This window comes from Homo sapiens, chromosome 2, assembly GCF_000001405.40.
Source record: "Homo sapiens chromosome 2, GRCh38.p14 Primary Assembly".
NCBI lineage: Eukaryota > Metazoa > Chordata > Mammalia > Primates > Hominidae > Homo > Homo sapiens.
The window spans coordinates 8,488,080-8,513,959 of record NC_000002.12 but is presented as its reverse complement, the minus strand read 5'-3'; the positions used below and the strand labels follow the sequence as shown (position 1 = coordinate 8,513,959).

The following is a 25,880-nucleotide window of genomic DNA, read 5'->3' as shown; positions in this document are numbered from 1 at the left end:
AGGGTACCCACCTTCAGGACCTCCCTACTCCCACACTCTTGGGACATGTCTGTCTCCACCTCAGCATCCCCAGTGGGCCCTGCCTGCCCCTCCAGCCTCCTCTGGAAGGATCCCGGCCCCCTGCTTCGTGCCCAGGACCGTGAAGCTGTTCAGGGTCTTGCTCAGGCCAGGCCAGCTCCCCTCTTCATGCTGTCCCCACCTCCAGCTCCTTCCTTTCCCTTTGCCTGGTGGCTCCTGCTGTGAGACTCAGCCCTGGCACATTTCTTCCAAGAAGCCCTTCCAGACGCTCTCCTCCCAAACTTCCCGTGAAACTCTATGGGTATCCCGGTTCCACTGGGTCTTTCTCATGACACGGGAGTCTCTTTCCATCTTTTTTCATCTCTGTGCCCTCGCACATCTCACACTTGACACCTGACATTGGAATGCACAAACAAGACAGATTCACATCAAATCTGGATTCGACAGCTGACCAGCCAGGCTTTGTCCCTCATTCTTTCTTTTTTCTTTCTGAGGCAGAGTCTCACTCTGTCGCCCAGGCTGGAGTGCAGTGGTGCAATCTCGGCTCAATGCAACTTCCATCTCTGGAGTTAAATGATTCTCCTGCCTCAACCTCCCGAGTAGCTGGGATTTCAGGCATGTGCCACTACACCTGGCCATTTTTTGTATTTTTAGTAGAGACAGGGTTTCACCATGTTGGCCAGGCTGGTCTCCAACTCCTGACCTCAGGTGATCTGACCACCTCGGCCTCCCAGAGTGCTGGGATTACAGGCATGAGCCACCATGCCCGGCTTGTCCCCCATTCTATTTGTGCCTTGGTTTTCACCACGGGGAATGGGAACAGCAATGCCTGCCTCCTGGTGTGGTTGTGAGTCACTGAGAAGATGATGTGAGTAGTGTCTGCAGTGCCTGGTGCTGTGCTGGACTCCTTGAATGGGGTCTGTATTGTCAGGGGCACAGCAGCAGCAGGGCAAGGGCAGGGAGGGTGGAGGCTCGGCACTTTCAGAAAACCTACCTCAACCATGCATACTCGGGCCGGCAGTGTCTTTGCCTCTTGGCTTTGTAATGTTGACAGTGACACAAACCACATTGCTGTGTTGTGGACTGAATGTGCATCTCTCCTTGTACCCCTTAATCCCTATGTTGAACCCTAACACTCAGTGTGGTTGTGTTTGGAGATGAGACCCGTAAGGGAGGAACTGAGCTTAGATGAAGCCATAGGGTGGGGCCCTGATCCAATAGGATTCACATTCTTGTAAGAAGAGACACCAGAAAGCTCCCTCTCCCTCCATGCATGCACACCAAGGAAAGGCCCTGCCAGAACTGCAGGAAGGCAGCTGCCTGCAAGCCAGGAGGAGCACCCTCACTAGAAATGGAATCAGCCAGAACCTTGATCTTGGACCTCCAGCCTCCAGAACTGTGAGAAAATAAACCTCTTGCTTCAGCCACCCAGTCTGTGGTATTTTGTGATGGCAGCCCCATAGACCAATACATGCAGATAAGCAGCTGGGACACAACTATCACTTTTTACACCTGGGGAGCTGTGACTTCAGTGTTGGGTGCAGATCTCTCTAAGTACCATGTGGCTTGGAGTTACCATGGACAACTCTGTGTGAGTCCTTCCTGACTGTGACTCACCAAGGCAGAGAGTGGTGATTCTGCTGTGGTCATTTCTAATTGCTCCCAATTGGCTATCCTGAGATAGACAAACTAAAAATAATTCCTCTGTGGGTGAAGGCTGCTGAAGGGACAAGAATGCTGCCCTATTGCTGGTCATCACACTCTCATGAGTGGGACTCTCCTGGGATATACCTGAAGAACAAGGCTTTCTCACTACCTTTGGTAACCATCTTCAGTATTTCTGCCAAGTGGTAAGAAGCCACAGGGGCCTGTTGCTTCTGTAGCAGCTACTTCTGGTGTGGAAAGCCTCAGAGCCCAGCATGTCTCCCACCCCAACTGTGGCCACCCGCTTCTCAGACTGAGACCAGGAGACACCAAGAGTGAACACTTCATTCCTGCTGCAGCCACCAGAGACTTCTGGGGGCATCTTTTGAGCAAAGGGGGCAGATTAGGTGCAGACATCCAGGCAAGAGGGGTGCTTTGGAAGTTCACACTCATACCTGTGAGTGCAGCCTTTGAGACTGGCCTGGCAGAGAAGGGGCCCAGGGGAAAAGGAGGTGGGGGAACCAACTGAGCTAGAACACCGACTAGGTGCTGGTCACCCTGGCTAGAGGCTTTTTGGACTTTAGCTCATTGGTTCCACACAAACCCCATTCTTGTGAGGGATGTGTGCTCATTATACAGAGGGGGAAGTGAAGGTTTAGGGAGTTCTTTAACCATATGTATTTCAGGGCCATGATTGCAGCCTGAAAGAGCTGGCAGGGACCTTAGATGTCTTCTGGTCTTGCCCACCTGTCTGACAGAAGGGGAGGCCAGCCTAAAGTCAGAGGTCACGGCAGAGGTGGGAACAGGATCTGGCTGTGCCTGTGGGTCACTCCTTTTTCTAGCAAATTCCATGTCATTTCTTCAGCTTTGATATGAGACAAGCTAACACTGGGTGAAGGCTATAGGAATTAGTTTCCTTGATCAGGCAGGAAGGAGCTAGCAATCCATTCTGGAAAAAGAAACTCTGACACCTGGCATGGTCTGTAGCCCAGGGGTTCTCATACTGGGCCCTGGAGCAGAGCAGGACAGCCCAGGCCAGCCACTCTCTGCATGGAGTTCAGTGCCTGCAGTTCCTGGGCAGTGCCTGCTTGTTCCTGGAAGCCCCAGTGTGGGTTCTGTCTCCCCACAGCTGCAGGGGGCAGGGATGCCCAGACTTGCCCTTTTAGCTCCCCTCCCTTTTTCACCCTGGAAGAAGTCCATTCACCACATCCCTGCCTTGAGACAGGTAGGCACCCACTGGGCCTGCTTGGCTCACCTGTGAGCTACTGGATGGCTGGGAAGACCAATCCTAGTCCTACGGGGGTTTCTGTCTTCCAAAGAACCACATTGAGTTTTCATGGTTTTGATTTAGAAGCTGAAATGAGATTTCAGGGCTGGTTTGGTTTGGGTTCCCCTGGGAGCAGACATGGAGACAAGGATTTTAGTGGGGGTTTTGGTTTGGGAGGCAACCCCAGGTGGAAACACTGGTGTGAAGTGAGGCAGGGAAGGAGTGTGTGCTTCTGAGGCTGCTGTGACAAAGCCGCCAGCTGGATGGCTTCCAACAGGGGAATGTTCTGGCCTATGGTCCTGGAGGGGAGCTGTCAGCAGGGCCTCCTGACAGAGAGCTGTCAGCAGGGCCTCGTCCTCTGAAGGCTCTGGGGAAGGCTGTGTTCTGTCCCCTCTCCTGGCTTCTGGTGCCCTCAGGCATTCCTTGGCTTATAGAAGCCTCCCTCCCATCTTTCATGTCCACATGACATCTCCCTACACTGCCTTCCCTCTGTGTGTTTGTCTCCGGATTCAAATTTCCCTCTTATAAGGACACAGGTCATATTGGATCAGGGCCTACCCTATGGCCTCATCTTCACTTAGTGATATGGTTTGGCTGTGTCCCCACGCAAATCTCATCTTGAATTCCCATGTGTTGTGGGAGGGACCCAGTGGGAGGTAATTGAATTATGGGGGCAGGTCTTTCCCATGCTGTTCTCATGATAGTGAATAAGTCTTGTGAGATCTGATGGTTTTATAAGGGGGAGTTTCCCTGCACAAGCTCTCTCTTTGCCTGCTGCCTTCCATGTAAGATGTGACTTGCTCCTCCTTGCCTTCCGCCATGATTGGGAGGCTTCCCCAGCCACGTGGAACTATAAGTCCAATAAACCTCTTTCTTTTGTAAATTGCCCAGTCTTGGGCATGTCTTTATCAGCAGCATGAGAACAGACTAATACATTCGGTTACCTCTGTAAAGACCCTGTTTCCAAATGAGATCATCTTCTGAGGTACCACTAATATACTCCAATGTACCACTTTGGGGGGGACACAGCACCCCAATGTACCACTTTGGGGTGGGACACAGTTCACCCCATAATAGAAGGGAAGGAAGCTAATAAAGGGTGTGTTGTCTCAGCTTGGGTGGCTCAGTCCCATGGGGACTTCTGGAAAACAGTGTGGACCACACCCCAGTTACCCAACTGAGGGCAAGGAAGCTGTGGTATAGAGGGACTCCAGTGCCCTATTCGCCCTGTATGTCCCCAGCCAGGCACATGCTTCAGCCCTCAGCCCTCAGTGTGAAGGACAGGGAACCTCTGCTCTAGAAGCCCACATGAGGCTCATGGTGGCAGTGCTCATGATAGATAAAGTGGAATTGACCTCACCGTGGCATGTTCAGTGTACTGAAAAGAAAATACTTTTAAAAGCACCTGAGCAGATTTACTGCTGCTCTGCAATATAATTCAATGTGTTGCCTTACATGAATTCACATTATGTGTGAAATATAATACACAATCAGCTATATTATATATGGTATAATTCTTGATTAATTTCCAGCCCTACAGCTTTCTTACCAGATGGGCAGGGTTGAACTCAAATTAGTCGGTGTAGCTTCTGGTTAGCATTTCTCTTAAGTTCAGAAAGGGAGATGTCTGAACTACAGTTGTCCGAAGGAGTCCTAGGTGAGTCTTGATCTTGGGGGAATCAGCATCTGGCTGGGTTGCAATGACTGAGAAGGTCTTGACACCACAGCCTGAGATCCAGCAGAGGTGCTGAGCTTGAGAGGCCTTGCAGAAATGGCTGCCTGTGCCTTCCGTGCAGCTTGGGGTTTTGTGTGTTGTGTGTTTTCTTGTAAAGTGAGGAAAATCAAGTTTCTTTGTTAGGAAGATAACCCAGCACAGAAAGCCCTCTGCCAGGTTCACAAGGAGGCTCAGGGAGCAGTGGCGGCTCTTGGCAGAGGAGAGCAGCTTGGGGGCTTTGATGCATGGGGGACTGTGGGCCATGGGCAGGGTGGGACTTTGGGGACCCGCCAGAAGTTCCAAGATGCACCCAGACCCCTGGGACTTCCATTAGCCAAGGACCCCTGTGCACCTGTCCCTGCTGCCCAGAGCTTTCCACATCAGTTCTGTGCATCTGGTGGTGGGGGTTGTGGGGTGGCATGGCGAGGAATGGGCACTTCCCTGTCTGGCCCAGCCTCTGGCTTCTGGCTTCCTTCTGGCTCATTTGGTGGCTGGTGAAGGTCTGGCTGGTAGGAGCAGTGGACGAGCACTTAGCGTGCTTGGAGGCCACCCCGGGGTTCCTGGGTGTGTGGAACGAAGCTAAGCTCCCAATTTGCAGGGGCAGGGAGTATGGGACCCAGGAGAGGGCCAGATATGGGAGTTTGACACGCGGAACCCCAGCTGGGGCTGCGTGGCCTCAGACGCATTGTGTTCGGCCAGTCTTGCCATACTATAAAGAAATACCCAAGGCTGGGTAATTTGTACAGAAAAGGGGTTTAATTGGCTCCCAGTTCTGCAGACTGTACAGGAAGTGAGGTGCTGACATCTGGTCAGCTTCTGGGGAGGCTTCAGGGAGCTTCCAATCATGGTGGAAGGCAAAGGGGGAGCCGAGGTATCACATGGGGAGAGTGTGAGCAAGAGAGAGAGCGGGGAGGTGCCACACACTTTCAAACAACCAGATCTCAGAGAACTCACTCACTATTTCGAGGACAGCACCAAGCCCTGAGGGATCCACCCCCCGTGACCCAAACACCTCCCACCAGGCCCGCCTCCAACGCTAAGGTTTACATTTCAACATGAGATTTGGGCGGGGACAAATATCCAAGCCATTTCACCTGTTATTTAACCCACGAGAGCCTCCATTTTTTCTTCTCTCCAATGGGGCTAATAATGTCGACCTCACAGAAGTGCAGGGAGGAAAGAATTGCGTGAAATATTTACATAAAGGGCATAGCACTGTGCCTGGGACACAGAAGGTATTTGATAAACAGAAACTCTGATTACTAATAACATGCAGTGGTTTGGGATAGCAGATTTGGCTTCCTTAAGAGAGCTGTCTTGGAGGCATTTTTACATCCTACAATACGGTGCTAAAGAGACAACTAAATTCCTGTTTACATGTCAACCTAAACCTTCTTATTCTAACTGTGCCACCACCTTAAAAGACATATATTTATGCTTTCGGCTCTAGCTGTTCACATGTGTGAAAGCGGTGCGGCACTTGCGGAGTGATTATGCTCATGTACATTAGGAATTGAACAATCACGCTGACTGCACTAACCCTCTATTTGAACTACATTGTGCAAATAAGATGTTATCTTAAATAAGCTCCTAATATAACTCAGTAATTACTATAATGCTTTTGGGTGAAATTGTGGTGGTATTACTGAATTTAGCCATTGAGTCTCAAATACGGAACCTTTGAGCAGACACCAGCAGTGCCCAAATGCTGAGTCCCTGGCCTGGGGGAGCTGAACGTGGCTGTTCTTGCAGGTTGAGGAGGGTGGGGGAGGGCTGGCATAGTGCGGGAGGTCCCAGTGAATAAGGGCGAAGAACGATGGCACCTGCTGGAGGTGGCCTCCACCTGATGAGAAGCCTCATCAATGGAGCAGAAGACCTATAGAGGCTGTGCGCCTGTACGTTCTGGTGATAGCAGAGAACCAGGCTTTGAGGGTAACTGAAGGACCAGTTATCCAAGTAGTGAGAAGGCAAACACAAACCGCAAATTCAGTGTCTTGGCTCCAAAATTTTATCGCAGTTCTTATAAAGGTCATGGCATTGGGCTTTATGTAGGGGAAGAAGAAAAGTTGTATCTGTTTGCTCTGGAAAAAGCCCTGGGTCTGGAGTTTGAAGACCTAGGTGAAGGGTAGCGAAGGCAGGCCCCTTTACCTCTCTAGGTCAGAGTATTAAGCAAGTTGATGCATTACCCAGAGAACACTTACTGATCACCTATTAAATATTGAGCACCGTGAAGCACTTTCTAAACTACAAGGCACTTTGCCCATTTCAGGTAGTTTTTGAATATCTGCCACAGCTGGGGTGGAGACGGCTCGCACATGTAGTCGGCTTGTCAGGACATGTGGAGGAAACTAATGTATATTTTAAATGCTCACCATGTGCCAGACCCTGTTCCCAGAGTTTTGCATAAATATTTGGAGGAACTTTCAACGCTCTGTGATGCTCATTTACATAAGGAGCTGAACAATTGCAGTCTGATGAACAATCACAGCGTGATCTTCATTTATCAAGTGAAGACACAAATGCTTGGAGCAGCTACGGTGCCTGCCCCTGATCACCCAGTTAAGATGCAGAGGAGCCTGAGACCTCAGATCCACCTCTCTATGAGGCTACATCCTTTTTCCCTCTCCCTGCTGCCTCAGAGAATGGCAAACATTTGCCTTCTTCTCTCTGATTTTGTAGGTGAGCAACAAGGAATACCGAGAGGAGGTTTCCACACCATGAACAAACATGGCACCAGGATCTGGAAGCTCCGGGCTTCTCCGTCTTCTAGAATTCTGGGAGCCTCACATGGCCCCCTCCTTGGCGAGTGTATTAGGCTGTACTTGTATTTCTGAAATACAAATAAATACCTGAGACTGGGCAATTTATAAAGAAAAGAGGGTTAACTGGCTCACAGTTCTGCAGGCTGTACAGGAAGCATGATGCTGGCATCTGCTTGGCTTCTGGAGAGCTCTCAGGAAGCTTCCAATTGTGGAGGAAGGTGAAGCGGAAGCAGGCATCTCACATGGCCAGAACAGGAGCAAGAGCGTGACGAGGGAGGGGCTACACACTTTTAAATGACCAGATCTTGCAAGAACTCACTCACTATGGTGAGGATCGTACTAAGGGGGGTGCTGCTGAAATGTTCATGAGAAATCTGCTGGCATGATCCAGTGCCCTCCCCCCAGGCCCCACCTCCAACAATGGGGATTCCATTTCAACCAGAGATTTGGGCAGGGACACACATCCGAACCATGTTAGGGAGCGACCCACACAGAGAGGACAGGGAAAGCTGGCTGCTGGGCCTATTCAGGAGTATATCTGTCACATGGGGGGGTCTGCAGTCTGGAACCCTCTAGAAGAGTCACAGCATTTTCTCTCACACACACATAGAAACCCAAAGAGGCCAGCTGAGTCTGGTGTGGATTATCTATGATTTAATTTTAATTATTGTTGTAAAATTAAACTTCCAGAGATGTGTAAAGTGTATTCTCAGCAAGTTTCCACACTGCCTGGGAGTGCTGTTGACACTTTTGTTTGACTGGATGCGCCTTCCCTCCCTGTCCTCACCCCGAGGTGCAGGCTCATGCAGACTCTATTCAGACTACAAGTTTTAGGAATGTAGGATTAACCTTCCCATTCTGTGGACAAGGACATTCAGGCCTCGGGAGCTTTAAGGGAGTGGTCAGAGGCCTCCCAGCTGGTAAGTGAGCTTTTCATTTTTAAATCCAACACTCTTCAGCAACAGAGCACATAGAAACTTCATTCAGGGTGGACTAGGACTGCAGGGCTGCTGGGGGACACAGCATGGCTGGAGCGATGCGGGATCGGGGGTGGGCACAGCGATGCGGGAGAGGCAGAGGCGTGGGGATCGGGGGTGGGCACTCCATTCTGGCCTGTGTCACCAATTTACTCTGAAATCTGTAAAGTGGCAGTTTGGATGTTACAAGCTGAGCTGTGTCCCTTCAAACCACATGAGAAGTCTTAACTTTCAGTACCTGGAAACCATCATTCTCAGCAAACTATTGCAAGCACAGAAAACCAAACACCGCATGTTCTCACTCATAGGTGGGAATTGAACAATGAGAACACATGGACACAGGAAGGGGAACATCACACACCGGGGCCTGTCATGGGGTGGGGGGAGGGGGGAGGGATAGCATTAGGAGATATACCTAATGTAAATGCCGAGTTAATGTATACATATGTAATAAACCTGCACGTTGTGCACATGCACCCTAGAACTTAAAGTATGATAAAAAATATGATACATGTATATGATAGAAGATTATTAAGCCATTAAAATTGTGTTTTGACATGTAGCGAATAGAATGTTAATATATTTTATTTTACATTAATAAAAATAAGTAATGTATGCCGATTAAAAAAAAAGAGGTTCATTAAATTAAAATGAGGTCATCAGGGTGGGCCCTAATCTGCTGTGACTGGTGTCCTTGTAAGAATAGAGATTAGGACACAGACACACACAAAGGGACGACCATGTGTGGACAAAGGTAGGAATCAGCCTCTGCAGTCCAGGGAGAGAGGCCTTGGGAGGAATCAGACCTGCCAACACTGTGATCTCGGACTTCCCGCCTCCGGAACTGTGAGGAATTGCATCTCTGTTGTTTAAGGCCCCAGTGTGCTACTTTGTTAGGGCAGCTGGAGCAGATGCACACGGATGAGATCATTCCGTAGTATGAATTTCCACCGATGGCAAACACCAGTATATAGCAACATTGTTTCTTGCCTGCTGGCCACCACGGATTCATGAGCTTTCCATGGGTCATGGTTGACTTGGAGTTGAACAAATGAGATTGGGTCCTGAGAGGTTTCTGGGGCCTGAGGACTTGGAACTGGTGTTTGTCTATCCAGGAGCCACCTCCGTTAGCCCTTTTCCTTACTACCTCTAACCCCTCTCGGGTGCCTTGCATGGGAGGCTGGTGGGTTCGTCTGCCCTACAAAGCTCCACATCCCTGACAGGTTTTGCCCTGTGAGCAGGTAAGTGTGGTAGAAGGAGAGCAGAGTGGCTTATGAAGTAGTTGCATTAGTCAGGGTTCTCTAGAGAGACAGGACTTATAGGACAGATGTATATATAAAAGGGAGTTTATTAAGGAGAATCGACTCACACGGTTAGAAGGTGAAGTCCCACAATAGGCCATCGGCTAGCCCAGGAGCAAGGAAGCAGTCCGAGTCCCAACATCTCAAAAGTAGGGAAGCCAACAGTGCAGCCTTCAGTCTGTGTCCGAAGGCCCGAGAGCCCCTGGCAAGCCACTGGTGGAAGTCCAAGAGTCCAAAAACTGAAGAACTTGGAGTCCAATGTTCGAGGGCAGGAAGCATCCAGCACAGGAGAAAGATGGAGGCTGGAAGACTCAGCCAGTCTCGTCCTTCCATGTTCCTCTGCCTGCTTTATCCTAGCCGCACTGGCAGCTGATTAGCTGGTGCCCAGACTGAGGGTGGGTCTGCCTCTCCCAGTCCACTGACTCAAATGTTAATCTCCTTTGGCAGCACCCACACAGACACACCCAGGACCAATGCTTTGCATCCTTCAATCCAATCAAGTTGACACTCACCATTAACCATCACAGTAGTGTTGAAAGAGAAAAGAGAAAAATTGGCAATGATCTTCTCATATTCGGAAACCAGTAAAATGGGAATGGGAATAAGTGTTATTCACGGTCCTTATTGGTGGAGCTAGCAGGCACTGGAGGCATGTCTGGTCCAGCCTGTGCCTTATTACAGATGGAAATGGGGGGAAGGGGGGCAGAGAGAAAAAGCGCCTTGCCCCAGGCAGAGCTGAATCCACACACTCCTCTCCTGACCTCCACTCCCCTGATATTTTTCCCTAGATCATCCTTATTTGAGAAATAGGAAAGGGAGAGAAAAAAGATTCTCTTCAGATTCAGAAATGCCTAATGCGTAGCAAACAATGCTTTTAAGCCCTGAAGGACTTCTGCAGCTGAAATTGCTTCTGTTTGTTTGGGTTCATGCTGCCTTTGCTCATTCCTCTCTGTCTGGAGGAGCTCTTAGACACAGCTCAACATTATCATCCACCTATTGTGTGAAAATGACGGCGAAGGTCAGAGAGTAACGCAGCAGGCTTATCTCAACTCATCTGAAAATTACCCTCATCACCGGCATTGTTGATGTTCCACCATGGATGCAGTGCCAACTCCACCCACACTTTCTTTAGGTTGCCCAGGTGAGGAGCGCAGAGGAGGGGAAGCAGGGCTGGCAGTGCATCATGCCTTCCACAAGATGCTGGGCGTGGAAGGTCAGTTGCCTCCCCGGCCCACGTGTGCTGAGAACTTCCTAGACCTGGCAGCCCCTGCCATGATCTTTCCATGGCAGTGCCTTCCTAGAGAGGGAGTGTTCCTAAGGGACTTGCTCTGGGGTCTTTCTCGGAAGGGAGACGCAGCCACTGCCAGGCCATGTGGATGTGGCTTAACAGATCCTTGGACATCATTGTCATCACCATCAAACACCCCAGCATTACTCTTCAGAGACAGTCTGATACATGGGCTTAATGACACTTGTCAAGTGGAAGTAAGAAAAGAAGGATTGGACTAGGGCAGCTGCCGAAGGTGGCCTGGGTTCAACCAAGTTCAACAAATAATAACCTTCACTAATAGGGCACCCACTGTGCACACCACGTCTGTCCATACCCTCTGTGGGGGAGTTCATCCCACAAGATGAATGCAGAGGGGCTTGAGGACTGGAGGGCCCACGGTTTTGCAGCCAGGAAGGGGCTGAGCTGGGATCATTCACTCTGTGTCGTGCAAAGCTGAGGCCTCTTCAGATGGCCACACTGCCCCCACTGGGGTCGTTTGCTGAATTCCCATGACCTGGCGGGCACTGGGCCAGCTAACAGGGACTTGCAAAGATTCTCAGCCTGGCATCTGGAATCTGTCCAAGAGCCTTGGGTGTGGACAGTAGAAACCCTGTCTCTACTAAAAATACAAAATTAGCTGGGCATGGTGGTGCATGCCTGTAATCCCAGATACTCCGGAGGCTAAGGGAGGAGAATCGCTTGAACCCGGGAGATGGAGGTTGCAGTGAGCTGAGATCAAGCCATTGCATTCCAGCCTGGGCAACAAGAGTGAAACTCCATCTAAAAAAAAGAAGAATGAATGAAAATAAAGTCTTATTTTTAAAAAGCAACACTTGTTCATTGCTGAAAGGTTAAAAATGCAAAAGAACAAAAAGAGAAGAAAAAGCAACCACCTGTATTTTCACAACCAGAAATTAACTACCGTTACTTTTTGGTAGATTTTGTTTTGGTCTGTTTTTCCCTACTGATTAGTTTTCTCACAGAGTTGTAATTACCCATTGATTGTAGGCTTCAGTAGATAGAGTCTAAGTTTTTTTTTTTCATTTTCCATTTTATCCTTAATACCTGTAGAGTGCATTTGGTATGCAGATGGTGCTCAATAAATGGTTTTAAATAAATTTGTAGAATAATAATATATATTTGAATAATAGTATACATCCAGGTTTGCAGCCTCCTGTCCTCATTTAAAGTTTTAATCTATTTTCCCACATTTTTACTGTATTTTTCTAAATAGCGTCTTTTAAATAAATGCATAGTTTAATGTACATATTTTAATGTACTTGCCACTTTCCTGTTGTTGAATATTTTAGACAATTTGCAAGTTTTTAGAATATAGTATATTCTCAATAAGTAATAAAGCAATGAACATCTTTGTGTAGAAAGGTTTTTTTCCCCATATTCTGGGGTATTTCATTTGGATGGCTTCCCAGAAGGTACTTAACAGGTCAAAGTACTGAACATATTTACTTCAAGTCCTTTGGCTATACATGGCTATAAGCGCCTTTTCAAAGTGTGTGCCGACTTATATTCTCATCAGCAGGATGAGTGAGTGGCTCAGGCAGGCAGAATGTGAGGTCTGGAATCCAAAGGCCTGGACTGATGTCCTGGCGCTGTCAGCCCCTTACAGGTGCTGTTGGGTAAGCTGCTTAAGTTCCCTGGGCCTCCGTTTCCCCTTATGTAAAGTGGAAGTGATGGCAATAGCTCACAGGACTGTGGTGAGAATCACATGAGCAAGAGTTGTGACAGTGCGTCTCGGACTGTCAGACTCTGAAGTGTGGGTTCTCTGGTGAAATGACTTACTATCCGGTAGGCATCAAGCCTGCAGCACCCCAGGACTCAAGAGGTATAGACCCCTGGCAGCCAGGGGCACAGCACCCAGAGACTCAGGGTTACAACACTTGGGACTCAGGTGTACAGTATCCTGGGGTTCAGTTGTGAACTGCCTTTGCTACCCGTGGCTGAAGTGTGCATTATCATCTGTACTACCTGGGGCTCAGGTGTGCGTCACCTGCATTACCTGGGGCTCAGGTGTGCGTCACCTGCATTACCTGGCACTCAGGTGTGTACTACCTGCGGCTCAGGTTCTCAGTACCTGGGACTTAGGAGTTTAGTCCTAAGAATCCCATGTTTTGATGTTCCTGCCCACCTCCTCTAGCCTGCTGAAATTTGAGCTACAGCTGCTCACATTCAAAAAACTGGAACTGTCTTCCAGTTCTAGTGACTCAGGTCAAGGTTTGCTCAACAGCCTGAGTACACAGGCTCGCTGTTCTGTTACTCGTGGCTTCTAACAAACTGTTTGCCAAAGGATTATGTCAAGAAACACTTGGAAGTGAGAGGTAATTTCTTTCTCTGGTTAAATACACTAGGTCAGAACTATCCTAACAAGTCTCTTCCCTCAGTTGTAGAGGAAAAGAAGGGTACGCAGGTGGTGAATTGCAGCGCTTGGTTGGCAAGGACTCAGCAACAGACAGGAACAAGACGAGCAGAGATCACAGGCAGAAAGGCGATCCACCTTCTAGGAACCTCTATTTCATTTCACCCTCCCTCCTTCCCTCCTTGCCTTCCCTCCCTGTGTTCTTTCACTCATTTATCCAGCATCTACATTGGTTAGAATACGTGGATTAGAAAATGCAACTCCTGCTCTTAGGGCCTTCTAGGCCTAGGAGGGGACATCAGAGTGAGGGAGTGGTGATGATGTAGTTGTGTGAGGGCTGGGACAGAGGGTGCTGGGCGCTAGGGAGCACAGAGACAGCCAGCCCCAGCTTCTCTTAAAGGTTCGGGGCACATGGGGGCCACATTTAAGGGATGTGCTGAGCAAAGGACAGTAGCATGGGATCCCTGTTTGTGTCAGGGGCCTTCCCACAATGAACTAATTGGGAGGGAGGTGAGGCCTGGCTCCTGAAGCTGTCACATGGCAGCAGCGGGATCTGAGGAGTACAGAGGGCTGGTGCCTTGGGGAAACCAGAAGCCAGCTGGCCCAAGGGCATCAAGTTCTACTTCTGGAGGCTGAGGCCAGCCATGAGCCCCGAGGCTCAAGAAGACCCCTCTGGCAGCTCACAGGTCCGAAGGGGATTGCAGAGGTTCTTTTATGGCTATGCAGAGACTGTGAAGCGCTTGTTAATTTCCCGAAGGAAACTGCGTGGCTGCTCCTGTGTGTTCTCCTCCCCTCTCACCTGGCTCATGTGATAGGAACAATGCTTTCCCAAGGCAGCGTGTGATGTGACCGGGGCCCCTTCCAGCATAAGAAGGGCTGCCTCACTGGGGTCTGTGCTGTCAAGCGCAGGACGCCAGTTGGCTTTCCTCTCTCCTGTTCTTTTGGCTTTCCACTTCACACTCCACACAAATGTGTAGGCAGCAGAGATCGCACGAGTATCAACAGAAAAGAGCATCAATAGCTACAGTATATTGATCACTTACTATGTGCCATGCACTGGGCTTGCAGGATGACATTTAGTTCCTAGGAGCAGCCCACAAATTAGCGATCATGACTTGCCATTTTACAGATGAGGATCCCAAGCCTGAAGGTATTAGGTGACTTGCACACAGCTGGCAAAATGCAGAGCTGGAATCTGCTTCAGGTGATCCAATTCTAGGACACACACTATCAACCACTTCTCTATACTCCTCTCAGTGGAAGGAGAAGGCACGGTGATATATAATTTGTCAAACGGGCCAAGCAACCTTGTTGAAAACATGGACATCCTATGGTGAGGTGAATGAGGCCCCAGTATGTCTCTGGGTGGGGCTGACACTCTACATGTCAGTAGATAAAATTATGGTAAATATTGTGGAATTTAAGAAAACCAGGAAGTTAAAAGTGGAAGTAAACTAAATAGAAGTGGGGTGACAATCATACAGAAGAAAGGAAATACTTTAAAAAGATAAAGTGCTCTCTCACAAGGATACCATATACGTGCCTCAAGATTCCTAATATCTGTTGAATGATGTATCAGGACTATTAACTGAAAATAAAAGATTGTCATGAACAGCCAGTAATTGGCTGGTCTCTGAGGTGCGTGAGATCAGAGGGAAAAGAACTAGCATTGGAATATTTCCTATGTGGCAGGGATGAGCAACCTCTTCATTTAACCTTTACCTCACTCTGGGATGTGGCCTCCATCCTCATCCTCATTTTGCAGATGAGGCTATAGGGGGTGCCTAAAGTCATGCAGCAAGTCAGTGAATCTGGACAGGAACCAGGTCTGGCTGCAAAGCCAGGGCGAGCTCATTCTGTTATGTTAACCTGTAGCGGACCCACCTCACTGTTCTCACACAGTGACAGGCAAAAAGCAATAGCTTGACAGACATGTATGTCTTGATGAATGACTGGGTGTATTGGATGATCTTGGCCTGGTTTGGTGGAGCCAGAATTTGCAGCAATGTCTATGTGCTGTGAGCTGCTCTGGAGTCATACAGAAAGGAAGCTTCGGGTTGACAACCAGATCCCAGTGGACAGGCCTGGAGAATCCCAGGTCGCTGACAGTGTCAGCAGTGAGACTCTCAGGGACACGTGCAGATGTCCCCCTGCCCCAGTTCTCCCTTCTTACTGCCGGGCTGCCACCTCCAAGCCCAGATGGGGTTCCTCTCCCAACATGCTCTGCTCAAGGAAACACGGATCAACATTCACTTCTTTGGGAGGCTCTCGGCCTCTGTGATTTCCCTCCCTGGACTTTGTGCTCTGATCTTCTCCCCCGTAGAAGACTTCATTCTTCCTTTTTAGGGATAAGAGAAGAGAGAGTCACGTGGCAGCAGGGGTTGTGGTTGCTTGCAGGGAGGGAGGCCCTGAAATGACATCAAATCAGCACCTTCTCTTTCCTGAAACCAATCTTAAGGGCACTGATATGCACTTGTTTATTCTGTCCTCTGGAAAGACTGACATTAGCCATGGCTTTCAAGAAATTATGCTGTGCTGTTCACAATAGCAAAGACATGGAATCAACCCAGGTGCCCATCAACAGTAGACTGGATAAAGAAAATGTGGTACATATACACCATGGAATACTACACAGCCATAAAAGAGAATGAAGTCATGTCCTCTGCTGCAACACGGATGCAGCTGGAGGCCATTATTGTATGCGAATTGATGCAGGAACAGAAAACCAAATCCTGCTTGTTCTCACTTATAAGGGGGAGCTGGGCCATGGGTACTCAGGTACATAAAGATGGCAACAGTAGATGCTGGGGACTACTAGAGGGGACAGGGAGGGAGGCCAGGATCGAAAAACTGCCAGGTACTATGCTCACCAGCTGGGTGACAGCATCAATCATACCCGGAACCTCAGTATCACGCAATATACCAATGTAAGAAAGCTGCACGTGTGCCCCCGGATCTAAAATAAAAGTTAAAATTAAAAGAAAATAAAAAATAAAAAAGGCAGTTATGCTCTCAAGGAGCTGGGTTGTTGAGGCCAGGCTTAGAAGGGTCCCCATTATACATGCACTGTTCCTGCAGGTGACTGCTTGCTTCTGCTCCAGAAACACACAGATGGGTCAGAGGGACAGACTGATGACTTCTCAATGTCTGAAGGATGATCACAAAAAAGGGATAAAATAGTCATTCGTGGGCCAAGATGTAGAACACAAGTCAGAGGGTGGAAAATATACCATGGTAAAATTTGGCACCATGAAAATGAGGCACTTTACTATTAATAAGAAGATCAATAATAAACTTGAAGTTAAGAAAAGACTAATGGTCTTGAGAGCAGCTGTACTTTGAACTGTATCATTATGCATGTGAGACTCAGGTTGCCTGAATTTTTCTGAGCCCTGGATTCCTCTTATTTAATGGAGATGGTAACATAGTGTATAATTCACAAGGTAGTTGTATGGATTAAAGAGACACCTGGACTAGCCGTTGTGCACCAAGAGCTCCACAAACGAGATTTCCTCTGCAACAATTAGGGCTGTATTAGGGCTGTCTTTGAAGGGAATGACCTGTCTTCATGGTTGGGGAACAGTCCAACACTGGCAAAATTTAAGAAAACGTTAGATGACCTCTTGATGGGATAAAGTGGAAGGAGGAGATTCTGACACTGGGAATTTCCAAATCTGATGGAGCCCAGGGGTCTGGTGGATTCGCCAGGCCTTTCACAGGGAGCAGGAAGGAGCAGCCCTCCCGGCCAGCTGCCTCCTGCCTGATAAGGAAGGACATAGGTAGAAATCCATCCAAACTAAACAGAGGGCTGAAGAGTGCAGTGGTTGGAGTAGGACTGTTTCCTGCGGAGGTGTGTCCTTGGTTATGATCCCTGGTCAGGGGAGGGATTGTGCCCTGGGGAGCCCTGGTATGTCTTTCAGTCACCGCTGACACCAGAGGACAAGACTCAGCTGCAGCCCCATGGCCAGCACCCTTGCATTCTAGTTGGAGAGGAAGAGACATTTACATCAAAAGGTTAATAACTATAGGAGCCAACTTAACAATCTGAGCTGCACTGAGGGAGGAGGTTGAAGGAGGCATGATTACTTGGCATTAGAGTTGCCGGGAAATGTTGGAAAATGAATGAGCTCAAAGGGCTTTGATTATGGGTGGGATTTGGATACCTAGAAAGGTGTAAGGCCAGAAATCCAGGCAGAAAACCTGATGGGAAGAAAACCCAGGGGCTGGAAAGCTCTGCCAGGTCTATTTCAGGGCTAGCAGCAGCTCTCTTTGCTGTGGTGGGGAGAGAGATTGACAAGAGGCAGAAGAGTGGTGTCAGGCCCGGGCTGTGCAGGGCCTTGGCTGCCGGGCTCTCCTCCCCAGCTGGACAGTGATCTCCAAACAGCAGGGCTGGTGTGGCTTCCTTACTCCTGAAGCTAACCAGACTGGGAGGGGCTCAGTACAAGTTGAGAACGTGAATTGACTGGCATGCTGGAAGGTTTGCTGGTCAGGCATTCGGGGAAGGTTACTATGTTGGGGGGGAAAGAATGGGATGGAAGGATGCAAAGACATTGCAAGGGGGGACTGTGTGTCTGTGAAGATGAGGAAGGGGAAATTGGAGAGGAGGCTGACTTTTCTCAGTGTGGGGAGTGGGTGGATTCTGGGAGAGTGGTAGCTGCAGGATGGACCTGCCAGTCCCTACTGAGAGTTCCTTACTTCTGACACTTTTCAGAAGCCCAGGAAGGCACATTCAGCTGGTTGGGGATGCCAACAATTTGACTGTTGGAAGAAATGAGATAGGCCACAATACTGACTGTCCCCTGAGCACCTGCTGTGCAGCAAGAAGTGTGTGGGGACTTCACACACACCACCTGCTGTAATGCCAGCCGTTGGCAGGCAGGTGATCACCCACCACCCCCAAGGAAGCTGACAGGAAACAACTGAGTGGACAGCTTGGTGTCTCTGGGCAGTGAGGAGCTCTGGGGTGGACCCCAAGCACTGCGATGTCCCAGCCTATCCTCCATCTAACACAGCAGCATCCTCTTCCTCACGTGTGGCGGGTCGAGGAGCAGCTGCAGCTGGTCTCCTCCAGCCATTCCCTCTGCAGCTTAGCATCCAGCCTCCACTCCTCTTGGGGAGCTCAGAGGCCAGTTCACCACAAGACGGTACCTGGGGCTGGGTCGGAAGCAGCTCTTCAGTGGCCATGGGTTCTTTCTGGAAGGTGGTGACTCATGCTTGCAGAAATTCTCCAGGGCCTCAGGATTCAGAAGGGGAGCATTGTTCACTGGCACTCAGGGCCATCTCTCCATGGCTCAATTCACCACCCGTCAGTCACCACCGCCGGCCAGTGCTGTTGGAGCCCAAGGTTCTAAGTAGTAAATGCAGACGTGAGGAAAGTAAGATTGTTGCAGAGTCATCATCCTCCTTTGCCTCGTGCCTATCCCTCCTCCTGTCTTCCTCCTTCCAAGGGCCAGACGTCCTAATGTCAGCACCCATGCCAGGTCAATTGTGTCAGATGTACCAGCTGCGTGAAACACTCATTGAGTATCTGTTGCTTGACAGGCACTGCAAGGGCAAGTTTCAGCTCTAAGGTGCCCACAGGGGTCAAAGAAAAATCACATCATTTACTATTGGGACAAGAAGTAGAACATGGTAAATCCCTTAAGAGAAAATCAAGGCAAGGGACATGGAGCTCTGTTCCTTTGTTGCTGAGGACACGTAAGGAAACTCCAGGGAGAGGAGGGCACTGAAGCTGGATAGGGAAGGACATTCCTGGAGGAAGGAACAGCAACAGGAAGTGCAGGGGCAGCCTTGAAAGGGAGGGAGGGCCCTGGGTTGGAACACAAGGAGGATGTCAGGAGGTGAGCCTGGAAAGTCGCCAGCTCATGGAAGGCAAGACCATGGGATGTGGATTTTATTCTCTGAGGAGAGGAGCCACTGGAAGGTGGCAGTGGACGTCATGGGCTGAATCATGCTCCCCAACCCCACTGCAAAAGCTGTGTGGCAGTCCCAACCCCCAGGGCCTCAGAATGTGGCCTCATTTAGAAATAGGACTGGGGGGTAATTAGTTAAGATGAGGTACTGGAGTAAAGTGTCCCTGTAAGAGGAGGGGAAGGCATAGAGAAACAGGGAGACGCCATGTGAGGACAGAGGCCGGGACAGAGGCACCGCAGCTGCAGGCCAGGGAAGGCAGGGCCTGTCGGCCACAGTGGTGGCCAGAGAGGGAGGCAGGATTCTCTTCCACAGGGATCAAAGGGGGCAGGGCCCTGCCAACAGCTTGGTGTTGCACTTCTGGCCTCCAGAACTGTGAGAGGATGCGTTTCTCTTGTTTTAAGCTGCCCAGCTGGTGGTGCCTTGTCATGGCAGCCCCTGGAAGTGAATCCCCCGGGGGTGGGGCGCACGGATGCCACTGTCTGATGACCCTCTCCCCTGGTGCTCTGCTTGGCCTCGAGCCCCCAGTGGTGGGCATGGGCCACATCTCAGCTCACTGCCCCCTGCCAATGTTTGCACCATCAGGGGGCTGCTGTTTTCACCTTAGCCCAGATGGACGCCCCCACCTCTGATAACCTGTGGATTAGGTTGACAAAAGCTTCAATTCTTTTTTTATTTTTCTGGGAAGAGATACAGGTTTGGGAAGACATGCTGTTATACAAAGAGGTTTCTTTCTTTTTCTTTTTTTTTCTTTAAGGGACAGAGTGTGAAAGTCCTTGTGGGTGAACAGGGGGAATATTCCAGAGGAGGTGCTCAGGTCAGAGAGGAGGAAGGAGGCAGGGACATTGATGCTGCTAACGTTGCACTTGTCGATAGCAGTGTGGTGACTCTGACAGTCTTGTGCCTGATTGAGGAGAAACGCAATGTGCTGCTGACTGCATGTAGTTAAACCAAAGTTTGTGTAGCTACTTCTACATGTTAGGATAAACAAACAGAATTGGGGGGCTGGTTCCAGCTTAGCATGGCGACCTGTTTTAACCTAGCTTGGCCAGAGTCACATCTAGTTGAGGGAGGTGGCTGCGTTATTGAAAGAGATCATTAAAATCACTTTCCTGTTTCCCACTGTGTCCTGCCCAACCCGTCTCCCTCCCACCTCCATTCCGGCTCCTTCATCAGCCTGTTTGTTCAGAGGAGGTGGAGGAAAAAGTCACCCTTGCTGGATATTGATAGAAGGGCTGCCTGTGTCTTGCACACTAAGGACATTGTTTAAGATGGTGCCACCTCTATAAAAATATTGGTTCTGTATTGTTGCCAAGATTTCTGAGTTATCTATCAACCAGAACTCCTTGTGCAAACTCAGTCTGCTTTCTGACAGGTTTAATCAGCACACATTCCTTTTTAGAAAACGTTCACAGTATTTGCGAGCTTGTCTTCTCTTCCTCCCTGTGTGCCCCAGCAGTCCTGGGGTGGCAGCTGCGTGAAGCTGTTCATCTGGGGCAGGACAGGGTAATTACAACATGAAGATGGGCAGGAGAATTCTCTCTCCAACAGGTTGGGAGAGAAATCATCTCCCTTTCGGGCCAGGCGCAGTGGCTCACACCTGCAGTCCCAGCACTTTGGGAGGCAGGGGCAGGAGGGGCACGAGGTCAGGAGATCGAGACCATCCTGGCTAACACGGTGAAACCCCATCTCTACTAAAAATACAAAAAAATTAGCTGGGCGTGGTGGCGGGTGCCTGTGGTCCCAGCTACTTGGGAGGCTGAGGCAGGAGAATGGCATGAACCCGGAAGGCGGAGCTTGCAGTGAGCCGAGATCGCGCCACTGCACTCCAGCCTGGGCGGCAGAGTGAGACTCCGTCCCCCCAAAAAAAAAAAAAAAGGAAATCATCTCCCTTTCAGACTCGCATGTCTGTAGAGAATATCTTTAGCCAACGATTAAAAGCAAAAGTGTCCTCGTCACTCTAGAAGACCTCAATTCACCTGACCTCCAGTGTTTAGATTCTGGGACTCTCAGCAAAGTCAACGTTTTGAACTGCAGGTATCCACTGGCTTGGAGAGGAAAATGTAGTGGCATTTCCTTGGATGTAATCGCCTTGAAAAACAAGAGTGTTGCAGTTCCGAGGCACTCAGCGAACTCTGCAATGTGTTTTTGTAAAATAATTCTGTACAGAAAGGCAGACTGACCGGTGAAATTTATCTGAGAACAAAGTTATCATTTCAGCCATTAATCTATTTGGGATCAGAAAAGGTTATTTCCAAGTTCTAACAATAATAAGAAGCTCAAATCTCACCTAGACATTAGATTAACATTTCTAAAAATTTAAGCATGGTCAGAAGTTAATTATAAAACATGCTGGACCTTTACAGTCACTGATTTAATATAGAGAGTATATAAAGACAATAACTGGATAGAAATTACCAGATAAATTTCCCCCTGCCTTTCCTCCAAGAATGTGCCTCCATTTATTAGAAACCCCCATGTCTCTTATAAATGGCTATTTTAATTTATGGATTTACAGTAGGGAGGAAATTAATTAACACGAAGTTGGAGCAGTTCCAACACGAAGTTGGAACACGACTGGGAAGCTGGCACTTGGGCCCATTACTTCTCTGCTCCTGACTGACTGTGTGACATTGGCCAAAGCAGTTAACCTCTGTGGGGCTCAGCTTCTCCATCTGTAAAAGAGGAATATTGCTTCTCAGCTGCCCTGCAAGGGGTAAAAATGCATGAACCAGCACATGGGAAGAGAAAGGAGAGGGCTCAGAGACGGGGTGAAGGCAGCAGGGAATAATAAACGGCTCCCATTTATTTCCCAGACCTTGAAGTTTGGGCCATACTCAGGGCTGATGTTTGCAATCCGCAACGCCAAGTTGACTTGGCCTGTTACTTGAAAATATGGAGGGCAAATATTAACTCAAGATAATGCAGCACGAGCAACGCAAAGGCCAGTTAACCTGAAAAAAGAAGAAATCACCATAGTTTAAAACGATGACACACGATGGCTCCCGGGATCGCTCATAAATTTCTGCTTTGTGGTAGCAAGAACATGTTCAAGGAATTAGTGCTGGGGTATCTCAGGGCAGCTTTCTAACCGCGTCTGATCTGTACGCTGTCCCCATTTGCCAAAACTCTTCATCGCCGATAAGGTGCTTGTTAGAGAAACGGGAACTAAATTTATAATCGGCTTTTGTGAAGCCAATTTACATGTTGTACTGCTGGAACTTAGAACTAAAGGGAATGTGCTTGAAGCCAAAATTGGCTTTGTGGCTCCAGTTTCCTCAGCTCAGCACCACCTGCCTCCAATCAAACTGTCCAATTACAGGAAACAATTGTTTTCTTGCTTTCTGGGAAGTGAAGAAATTCATCCAGTAAAGGACTGATTTCTAAATGCTTCTTTTTTTCCTTCTTAAAAAGAAAAAAAAAAGAAGATCAGAAAAGACCAACAAATCCAAAACATCAACATTGTTTGGGGAAGAAAGTGTTTCCCTAACAAATTGCCTTCAAAGTTCAAAAACCAGAATATTGCCATCTACATACGTTGGTGTTACTGACCACAGATAACTGCTCTGTAATTACCTCTTATAATAACATTATTAGCCATTCAGAAGAAAGATTCTCTCTTTTAACGTGAGGCAGTAATTAAAGGCAGTGAATTTCACAGGTGAAATCTTGCAGAAAGTATGATTCTGAAGTCAAAGAATTTAGTGATCCACCTCTGCCTAATTAAACTTTCGTCTCAAAATAAAATCTTATATTTGAAACAATGAAATCAGGGCAATGATACTATTTATCTTTGAGGCCAAGTCTCGTTTCTTTAAGCCCTAATTTGACTTTCTACAGCTTATTTCCCTGAAATGGTTAAGATGGCAGCAGAGAAGTTGAAAAGAATATAAACCGCTGGTCACATGTAGGTGGTATTTAGTATGCATTGAGCATAGATGACAATTATAGTACATTCTTTCCTCTGGCAGGTAATATTTTAATGGAACTAACAAACTTCACTTGGCTTGTTTCTACTTCATCTCTTGAGTTTCTGTTTTTAAAAATAAAACAGAACTGCTCAATATTTTATGATTCAATAAAAATAATGACCTCATGGAAACCACTTACTGGCATTTTTCTTATCATTCCTCAGTAGTGCATTGGCCTTACTGAGGCAACCTCCAGAAGCTTACATTTACATTGACTTTGTGCTCCACTAGGAATTCGCTTAAGTTATTCAGGGGAATAATTCCACTCCATTCCAAGGGAGTTCTCTGGTGCACAGGATATTAGCTTCTAAGAATACTGCTTGCCTCCAGGAAGCCTTCCTGGGTCAGATCAGCCAGGGGCGAGCTCTCACTTTCCTGCCCTGGCACTGGCCCTGCATGGGCCTCTGTCCCAGGTGGTGGTTTGACTTCTGCCTTGTAGTGTGGCCCTCAGTGAACAGGACTCACTGAGGACCAGGCAATCACTCTTTCATTTGCTAGAAATGAGAGAGTGGATGCTTGGTGCTTGGTAAAATGAATGAAAGCATGATCTTCCTCCTATTTTTCTGGGTATTTTTTCTGAGGTCCCTCAGGGGCCTTTTCTCTTCTCCATGTCCCCTTGGACTCTTTCCTTAGCACCTTTTCTTAGATTCTGCACACACCTTGGGTGGTCGCATGCACCCCTGTGATTTCACCTATAAGTGGCGGTCCCCAAACCCAGAGGCCTGTGTTCTTATCCTGCTCTACGGAAAACTTGGGGGTGGTATTAGGGGCCGTGGTAGATAAACAAAGGGGCTTCGGAATTGGATTCCCCTGTGCTGTGTCTGGGTCATCCATGCACGAATGTGGGGCCTTGCTTAACATCCGTAAGCCTTAGTTTTCTTACCAAATAGGAATGCATGATACCAGCCAGAAGTACCTGGAGCTGCTAAGCGGAAACCATTGTTCATACATCACCAGCCCAGGTGCCTTCCTGAGCTTTAGATGCAAAAAGTACATTGCTTGCTGTCTGCAAACCCTAGATCTACCATAACTGGCATGGTAGCCAGTTGCACATGTGGTGATGAACGTTAATTAAAATGAAATGAAGTTTAAAATTCAGCTCCTCACTTGCAGTAGCTGTATTTCACATATGTGACTCACGGCTATTGTATCAGACAGGGCAGAATTACAGAACATTCTAGAACATAGCACAGAAGAATTCCCACGGGGCAGTGTTGCCTGTTGCCCTAGATCTTCCACTGGTGTCTCAGCTTAGACCTTCTCTGTTAGTGCCCTCCTTCCCCATGACTGGCCCTGCCATCCACCCTGCTGTGCAAGCTGGCCACCATGGGCCGGCCTTGGATGGGCACGCTAGGCTGTGGTTAACAGGGGACCCTGGAAGCCGACGGCCTTGTACTGCATGTCATGGCTCTGTGGTCTCAACTGCTTTTTGTCTCTGTTTTCTCTTCTGAAAAATGGGGACTATAACAGCTCCTGCGGCAAGGGATTTTGAAGATGATAAAATAATGCAAGTTAAGTGCTTAGTGGGTACAGCGTAGGCGGCACGCGCCCAGCCCATCATGATCATCTGTGATTGTCCTGGAGCTCTCCTCCCTCCTTCTCACATGCAGCCTCCAGCTTGGTTAGCCTGCAAACCTCCAATCAGTCAGTGCCTTCCCTAGGGTGGCCCAGCTGCCCACTGTGATCCTGCAGCCTCTCACCCTGCTCCCGGGCTGCAGGCTGCCTGCACCATCCTTTCAGACGCATGCATCTGATCAGGTTCTGTCTTTGCCAGAAAGTCATCCAACAAGTCTCTTGTGTCTTAGGGCACAGTTCTGCCTCCCTAGCACAGCAGGTGGGCTCAAAGAGGGCCCACCGCCCCTCTTCCACCTCCCACAGAGGGAATGGGCCTCTCTGTCTCATGTCTTTGGACACATTGCTTTCTCCCCTTGATGCATCTCTCTGCTCTCGCCCCAGCTCCATCTTGCTCTCTTTTCTTTTTCTCCTCCTTGTCATCCTTTGCACTCAGCTCAGCTAAAGCGCACAGCCCTGAGGGGTCCCTCCCTGCACATCCCAGCTGGGCCCTCCAGCCTCACACGAAGCTCCTGGGAATCCTCTGATTCTGCATCCTCGGGGCCTGGTGCTTGTTTCCATCCCAGCCACCGGGAAGCGGTTTCTCCAGAGCAGGGGCTAGCATGACTTAGCTTTGTTTCCTGGGGCCTGAAGCCCAGTAGGCATCGGGAGGGGTCTGGGAGGATCTTCACGGCATGAATAGACCCGCTGGCCACAGCCGATTCTGTGTTCCTTCCCCACGTGTGCTGCTGTCCCCACAAAAAATGCATTTCGGATGCTGAATATCCACGCCTCACGGTGCTCTGGTGACTAGGGGGATCCCTGTGAGATGGGGGCTTTCCAGCAACCTAGATAATGAAACCACAGAGCAGCCTTCCCCTGCGGTGACCTAGTTCTTAATTCCTGTAGTTTCAACACTCATCACAGCAGAATTCTGATGAGGCTGGGCTCTTTCGCAGCTGGCATTTGATGAGAAAAGGGAATTGAAATGTAGGTGATTGATTTGGACCTGGAGAAGCTGATTGGATGTCACCCTGTTCTTCCCGACAATGGGGACCGGTCTGTGCAAAGGGGACTTCCTGTGACCCCTGCGGGTCCACCGGAAGTTCTGATTTCTCCCC

At 48.9% G+C, this 25,880-nt stretch overlaps 2 annotated features.

The window, feature by feature from the left end:
• Window positions 17,915-18,415: an enhancer, noted in NCBI's record as "H3K4me1 hESC enhancer chr2:8635675-8636175 (GRCh37/hg19 assembly coordinates)". NCBI's record gives its function as "activates a minimal SCP1, AML or CMV promoter by ChIP-STARR-seq in primed H9 embryonic stem cells {active_cell/tissue: H9 hESC(primed)}" and the evidence as "EXISTENCE:reporter gene assay evidence [ECO:0000049][PMID:30033119]".
• Window positions 25,491-25,880: an enhancer, noted in NCBI's record as "active region_15258". NCBI's record gives its function as "activates an Ori minimal core promoter by ATAC-STARR-seq in GM12878 lymphoblastoid cells {active_cell/tissue: GM12878}" and the evidence as "EXISTENCE:reporter gene assay evidence [ECO:0000049][PMID:35858748]".